Source organism: Homo sapiens, chromosome X (genome assembly GCF_000001405.40).
Source record: "Homo sapiens chromosome X, GRCh38.p14 Primary Assembly".
In the NCBI taxonomy this organism is placed as follows: Eukaryota; Metazoa; Chordata; class Mammalia; order Primates; family Hominidae; genus Homo; species Homo sapiens.
This window is the reverse complement of record NC_000023.11, coordinates 44680091-44688617: the sequence shown is the minus strand read 5'-3', so window position 1 is coordinate 44688617 and position 8527 is coordinate 44680091.

Below are 8527 nucleotides of genomic sequence, written 5' to 3'. Positions count from 1 at the left end.
TGTTGCCCAGGCTGAAGTGCAGTTGTGCAATCTCAGCTCACTGCAACCTCCGCCTCCTGGGTTCAAGCAATTCTCTGCCTCACCCTCCCGAGTAGCTGGAATTACAGGCGCCCCCCCGCCACCCCCCACCCCCACCACGCCGGCTAATTTTTGTATTTTTAGTAGAGACGGGGTTTCACCATGTTGGCCAGGCTGGCCTCGAACTCCTTACCTCAGGTGATCCGCCCGCCTCGGCCTCCCAAAGTGCTGGTATTACAGGCGTGAGCCACCGTGCCTGGCCTAAATTCTTTTTTCTACTGGACAGAAATGATCTGCATCTCTACTGGACAAAATTCTTTAAGTTTTTATGTAACTCTGCTAAGTCTCTGACCTTTAACCAATGATAGACTGAGCAAACAAGGTACATTGCCCTAAATAATCCTTGGGTGAGCTTTCTTCAGGCAATATTGAAAGGATGTTACACCTATCTTTTGCTTTGTCTCCAAGTTTTGTATCTACTTTTTAAATAGTGAATGGATGAAGGATGTATATCATTTTGGGGGAATATAAATTGAGACCTTTTTAAGGGAAGATGCAAGGTTGGTACTTAAGACTGGTTTTTAAATAGCCTTAAGTGCATCAGATACTCTGGGGAGTTGACCCAACAGCAACTATACAGTGAGTTAAAAGATATCCCTTTCTTTCTTTTTTTTTGCATCTGCATCGTTTTACAGTAAACCACAGCCACGCCAAAAAAATGATGAAATTATGATTGGTGCTAATAAACTGGAAGATTTAATTGCATGATAAACTTAGAGTATGTTGGAAGTTAATAAAGCATGTTTGCACACTAATAAAAATATTTAGGATATGAGATAATGATTTTATGGAACAAAATAAAATGGCCATAAACAAATTGCTGAACTATCTGAATCATATAAAATAACATTTAAAATCACTGAGCAAGCTGAAAATATGTATGCTTTTTATATCTACTTATTCTATGTTCAAAAGGTCAGGTATTTGGAAAACGTGGAAATAAGATGTACAGTTTATTTTGCATTAAAAAATCCTAAAGGCCTGGCACTGTGGCTCACGCCTATAATCCCAGCACTTTGGGAGACCAAGGAGGGCGGACCACTTGAGGTCAGGAGTTCAAGACCAGCCTGACCAACATGGTGAAACCCTGTCTCTATTAAAAATAAAAAAAATTAGCCGGATGTGATGGTGCATGCTTGTAATCCCAGCTATTTGGGAGGCTGAGGCAGGATAATTGCTTGAAATTGGGCGGCGGAGGTTGCAGTGACCCGAGATAGCACCGCTGCCCTCCAGCCTGAGTGAAAAGAACGAAACTCCGTCTCAAAAAAAAAAAAAAAAAAGGCCTTTAAACTCTTTTAGAAGACCTACAATAATGAAGAACCTGTAATAAGCTCACAAAAAGCTCTTCTAATGAATTAGTCAATTTAATACTCTTCAGAATTCCCCATAAGAACATCGTTCTATCTTTTTTTCCTGCAAAGCTCAGCTCTCTCCTCTCTTGACAACCTCTCCAAGATATTTTAGATTTCTTTTAAGAGAAAATTTCATTTATTAAAGACACAGTTGTGCTAAATTAAAACCAATCATCATAATAATTTTCTCTGCTTTAATATATACTGGCTGCTTCATTGAGGATCATGTACCCTAGCTTCCATTTTTGTAATGAAAAATAGCCTGTATTATAAATGCTGTGATTTGGTTTCAGAGGTTTATCTTTATCCTGCAGTTTAGATGCTGTTACAGTGCACCCTACCTTAAATCTTCTAAGAATAAAATAGTAACCGAATGATATGTATTTCTATTTCAAATTTCTATTACCACCTTTCTCTTCCACAAAACCCTTACTATCATAATCAGTGGGATTTTAATAGATCTTATCTAGAAATTGACTTATTTGTCTAGCAAGACATAAATGAGCAGAGACTTTATCTGCCTGACTGCCATATCCATATATATCCTACAGTAGTTTAATGTATTTGTCCAAATGGCAATACAAATATTTATCAAGCTCTTAATGTGTGGCACGCACGGTTCTAGGGACGGAATGGTGAGCAAGACAAAGTCCCTTACCAAGGAAGAATATGTTTCAGTAGAAAAAAGGATCATAAATAAGAAAACAATTTAATATAAAGTAGTGCCTATAAATAAGTGGATAGAGCATACTTTTTTTTTCTGTAGTTACATCTAACATATTAGTAGTGCCAACTGAAGAATGAGAGGCAGGAATTTTGCTGTACTGCAGGGAAAGACATAGCTGGGCTGGATAACCAAATGTAGAATCAAGGCAAGAAACAACTGTGAGGTTTCCTCCTTCTTTAGCCTGGATCCTGGTTCAAACTCATCTTTCCCTATCAAACTGAACTCTCCGAAAGCTGTCAGACAAGCCCATTTCTGTTGAGGTACCAGTGGCTAGAAACACCACATTTGCGTGCCTTCCAGCAAGGTTTTCATTGTACAGAAGACGGAGCCTGAGGCTTATCTTTGTGGAAACCCAGGCTGCTAAGTGACCACTCAGGCTCTCCTCGCTGTCAGTCTAATCTAGATCAATTATGTCATGAACTCTGCCCAATCTCAACCGATACTCTGTCCTGTGAGACTCTTCTCAAAATCACCCACCCCATGCCTTAAAACCCTCTACCCTTTGCTCATTTCCCCATTTTGAGACACTGTCAAGACATTACGAAGGACAATTAGAGACACAGAGAAGAAGGGTGATATCAAGATACAAATGGGCTGGGCGCGGTGGCTCATGCCTGTAACCACAGCACTTTGGGAGGCCGAGGCAGGTGGATCACTTCAGGTCAGGAGTTGGAGACCAGCCTGGCCAACATGATGATACCCCATCTCTACTAAAAATACAAAAATTAGCTGGGCATGGTGCTGCGTGACTGTAGTCTCAGCTACTCGGGAGGCTGAGGCAGGAGAATCGCTTAAACCCGGGAGGTGGAGGTTGCAGTGAGCCGAGATCGTACCAGTGCACTCCAGCTGTTAAGACAACAGCAAGACAAACTCCAGACCAGTGCTTCTTAGATTTTCGTGTGTAAAAGAATCCCTTGTAGAGCTTGTTAAAATGCAAATTCAGAGTCAGTAGGTCTTGGTGAGGTCTGAGATTCTGCATGTCCAACAAGCTCCCAGGTGATACCGATGCTGCTGGCCTGAAAACCACAATTTGAGTAACAAGGATCCAGATCAGGATTTGGTAAAATTTATCTGGAAAGGGTCAGATAGCATATATTTTAGGCTTTGAGGGTGTATTTGTTTCTTATTGCTACCGTAACAAATTACTACAAATTTAGAGGCTTAAAACAACACCCGTTTATAACCTCACACTTCTTTGGTCGGAAGTCTAGCACTGTGGGGCTCAGCTGGTTAGTGTCTCAAAAGACCAAAGTCAAGGTGTTGATAGAGCCTCAGTTTCTGGAGGCTCTGGGGACGGCATCAGCTTCCAAGATCAGCCGAGTTGCTGGCAGAATCCAGTTCAATGTGGCTGGAGGCCCTCATTTTCTTGCTGGCTGTCAGCTTCTCTCAGCTCCTTAAGGCAGCCTGTGTTCCTTGTCACATTGCCCCCTTCATCTTCAAACCAGCAATGGCACTTCAAATCATTCTCATGCTTTGGATCTCTCTAACTCCAGCTGGAGAAAGTTCTTTGCTTTTAAGAGCTCATAGGATTAGATAGGGCCTACCTGGATAATCTGGGATACTCTCCCTGTCTGAAGCTTTGTAACCTTAACTATATCTGCAAAGTCCCTTTTGCCATGTAAGATAATATATTCCCAGGTTCCAGGGATGAGGCTGAGGGGGGCCATTATGCTCCCTACCACAGAGTGCCATATTGTCTCTGTTGCAGATACTCAGTGGGGCCCTTGTAGTGTGACAGCAGTCCTAGAAAATATGTAAACACTTGAGTGAGGCTGTGATCTGATGAAACTTTATTTATGGACACTGAAATTTGAATTTCACATTATTTTTCCATGTCACAAAATAATATTCTTTTCATTTTTTTCTAACAATTTAACAATGTAAAAATTAGGGCTGGGTGTGATGGCTCACGCCTGTAATCCTAGCACTTTGGGAGGCCGAGGCGGGTGGATCACCTGAGGTCAGGAGTTTGAGACCAGCCTTGCCAACATGAGGAAACCCCGTCTCTACTAAAAATATAAAAATTAGCCAGGCATGGTGGCAGGCGCCTGTAATCCCAGCTGCTTGGGAGGCTGAGGCAGGAGAATCTCTTGAATCCAGGAGGTGGAGGCTGCAGTGAGCCGAGATCGTGCCATTGCATTCCAGCCTGGGCGACAAGAGGGAAACTCTGTCTCAATAATAATAATAATAATAATAATAATAATAATAATAATGTAAAAATTATTCTCAGCTCATGGGGCAGTACAAAAACAGGTAGATTTGGTTGGGTGCAGTGGCTTGAGCCTGTAATCCCAGCACTTTGGGAGGCCGAGGTGGGTGGATCACCTGAGGTGAGGAGTTCGAGACAAGCCTGACCAACATGGTGAAACCCCGTCTCTACTAAAAATACAAAAATTAGCTGGGCTTGGTGGTGCACGCCTGTAATCCCAGCTACTCGGGAGGCTGAGGCAGGAGAATCGCTTGAACCTGGGAGGTGGAGGTTACAATGAGCTGAGATCGTGCCACTGCACTCCAGTCTGGGCGACAGAACAAGACTCCATCTCAAAAACAAACAAACAAACAAAACAAAACAAAAAAACCAGGTAGATTTGGCCTGTAGTCTGTAGGTTGCAGATGCCTAATATAAATTTTTTTTTTTTTTTTGAGACAGAGTCTTGCTCTGTTGCCCAGGGTGGAGCACACTGGCGTGATCACAGCTCATTGCAGTCTCAACCTCCTGGGCCCAAGCAATCTTCCCACCTCAGCCTCCCGAGTAGCTGGGACTACAGGCACCCATCATCACACCTGGCTAATTTTTATTTTTATTTTTATTTTTTTTTAGGCGGACTCTCACTCTGTCGCCCAGGCTGGAGTGCAGTGGTGCAATCTTGACTCACTGCAACCTCCACCTCCCAGTTCAAGTGATTCTCTTGCCTCAGCCTCTTGAGTAGCTGGGACTACAGACGCACACCACCAGACCTGGCTTATTTTTGTATTTTTAGTAGAGACAGGGTTTCGCCACGTTGGCCAGGCTGATCTTGAACTCCTGACCTCCGATGATCGCCCACCTCGGCCTCCCAAAATGCTGGGAATACAGGCATGAGCCATCACGCCCGGCCTCACACCTGGCTAATTTTTAAACTTTTTGTAGAGACAAGGTCTCTTTATGTTGCACAGGCTGGTCTCGAACTCCTGGGCTCAAGCAATCCTCCCAACTTAGCCTCCCAAAATGTTGGGATTATAGGTGTGAACCATCACATTCAGCCCCTAATCTAAATCTTAATCCCTTTTGTCTCAGAATGGAAACCTGAAAAGGGCAAGAATGTTCTTTCCAACTTTTGGTGCCTTGTGGATGCTTCTTAAATGATTAAACATTTGACCAAAGCACTTACCTGTAGGAAGATTCTAGATGTCAAGGTGATGTTTATGGGGAAGGAGGAAATAGAAAAATTTGCTCAGGAAACTGGTCCTTTTGTAAGCGCAGAGATGGGTTATATTCGAGAAAATGAGCTTTTATGGGGGAAAATGCAAACATGTAGTTGTTAAATCAGCTGCATTCTATTTTGAGCTTTAATGGCATCTTGAGGTAGGCAGGTAAAAATAATGATAGGATTAGTCTGATCTCACGCTTCAGGAGGTTTACAGATAACCTAAGATGATATAGGAGTTTTTTCTTTTGTTACCTTCATCTTGGTCTACCTGAAACATTGTAGATTCCATTTACAGTCTTTTAAAATACTAGTCCCTAGGGGCAGGACTTTTACATTAACTAAATTGGTAATATGATTAGGTGTGTGGGAAAGCCCATTTGCTCCTAGAAGCAAGGTATTAAAATTATTATGCATCATAAAATAATTGTGTAATGAGGCATAATCTGGGGCATTAGCAATGTATGAAAGGTGGGGTGGGAACTGATGATAATGATACCTCAATTTCTCAAACCTATCTTTTAGGAAAAATCAAATTTTGATGTCATGTTACAGCCATTCCAAATCCAATAAATCATATGTCTTTGGTCGTGTTCTCCAGATGGGGACCCTGAGACCTGGTTTCAAATACAAATGATTTATTAAGGAAGTACTCACAGGAGAAACCAATAAAGGATAAAGGAGTGGGAGAGGTAGGGCATGGAAAGGGAAGAAGCAAATAAGACTGCACTCTCAAGCCAAGTCCCAGCTTCAGCCTGATCCCATGGAAAGCTCTGAAACAAACTATGCCTCCAAGCTGCAGAGGCAAGGAGCTAGGATTTCCTACTGTTGCACTGGTCGGTCAGTCATTGGTTAAGGCTGCCCGAGGGGAAGTAAACTCTCAGGCATTTCTAGCTCTCTATACAAGTGGGCAAAGTAGCTCTAACAGCCCAAGGGAAGGCCTCCAAAGAGTGTCACAGGTGCAGGCCACACACAGAAGCTAGGAGGTGGGGGCTCATAGAAAATGTAAAAGGGATCCAAGGGGATTTGTTTAGAGTTCCCCCATGCTTCTATAAATGCATGGGGATTTGGTTTCTTGGGAAAAAAATTGCACCTCTCTCTCTTTAACACTGCTGAGAATTAGAAGGTCTTTTGATACCTGTCAGTCACTTTTTTTTTTTTTTTTTTTTGAGATGGAGTCTCTGTCGCCCAGGCTGGAGTGCAGTGGCATGATCTCTGCTCACTGCAAGCTCTGACTCCCGGGTTCAAGCAATTCTCCTGCTTCAGTCTTCGAGTAGCTGGGACTATAGGCACCTGCCATCGCACACGGCTAGTTTTTGTGTTTTTAGTAGAGATGGGGTTTCACCATGTTGGCTAGGCTGGTCTCAAACTCCTGACCTCAGGTGATCTGCCCACCTTGGCCTCCCAAAGTGCTGGGATTACAGGCATGAGCCACTGTGCCTGGCCCCCGTGAGTCACATTTAATAGAGAAAAATACCTAAATGCTAGGAAATTGCCTCTGGAGTTCATAACTCCTGGTAGACAGGAAGGGAAACATTCTTTCTCATTTTGGTTTGTTTTACCATTTTCTGTTCATTCTGTTTATGTATTTATTTTTCTTTTTTGTAGAGGTAGGGTCTTGCTATGTTGCCCAGGCTGGTCTCTAACTCCTGGCCTCAAACAATCATCTTGCTTCAGCCTCCCAAAGTGCTGGAATTATAGGTATGAGCCACTGCACCTGGCTTGTTTATTTATTTTTAAATTCAGTTTTTGAATAGGTAATATAGTCTTACGATTCAAAAACTTGAAAGTGGCCAGGTGCGGTGGCTCACACCTGTAATCCCAACACTTTGGGAGGCCGAGGCGGGTGGATCACCTGAGGTTGGGAGTTCGAGACCAGCGTGGCCAACATGGTGAAACCCTGTCTCTATTAAAAATACAAAAATTAGCCCGGCATGATGTCACACACCTTTAGTCCCAGCTACTCGGGAGGCTGAGGCAAGAGAGTCGCTTGAACCCAGGAGGCAGAGGTTGCAGTGAGCCAAGATTGTGCCACTGCACTCCAGCCTGGGCAACAGAGTGAGACTCTGTCTCAAAAAACAAACAAAAAAACTTGAAAGTACAATAGGATATACAGTACAAAGCCTCTTGCTCATCCTTGTCCCTCATCTGCCAAGGCATCTCCTTTACTAGTTTTCTTAGTTTATGTGTGGACACGAAAGCAAATGTGAGTATAAACTTTTAGCCCCCCTCTCCACTTTATACCAAAGACAGAATACTGTAAAAACTGATCTGCATATACAAACTGTTGCATTTTTTTCAGTTAATGTATTATTATTATTATTATTATTATTATTATTATTATTATTATTATTGAGACGGAGTTTTGCTCTTGTCACCCAGGCTGGAGTGCAGTGGCGTGATCTTGGCTCACTGCAACATCCGCCTCCCGGGTTCAAGCAATTCTCCTGCCTCAAGCTCCCGAGTATCTGGGACTACAGGTGTGTGACACCACGCTGGGCTAATTTTTGTATTTTTAGTAGAGACAGGGTTTCACCATGTTGGCCAGGTTGGTCTCGGACTCCTGACTTCAGTTGATCCACCTGCTTCGGCATCCCAAAGTGTTGGGATTATAGGTGTGAGCCACTGTGCCTGGCCTACACTTAATGTATTTCAGAGTTTTTTTTGTTTTTTGTTTTTGACATGGAGTCTCGCTCCCATCGTGCAGGCTGGAGTGCAGTGGCGCGATCTCAGCTCACTGCAACCTCCACCTCCTGGTTCAAGCGATTCTCCTTCCTCAGCCTCCCAAGAAGCTGGGATTACAGGTGTGCATCACCACGCCCAGCTAATTTTTGTATTTTTAGTAGAGACGGGGTTTCACCATGTTGGCCAGGCTGGTCTTGAACTCCTGATCTCAGGTGATTCACCCACCTCGGCCTCCCAAAGTGCTAGGATTACAGGCATGAGTCACCATGCCCAGCCTC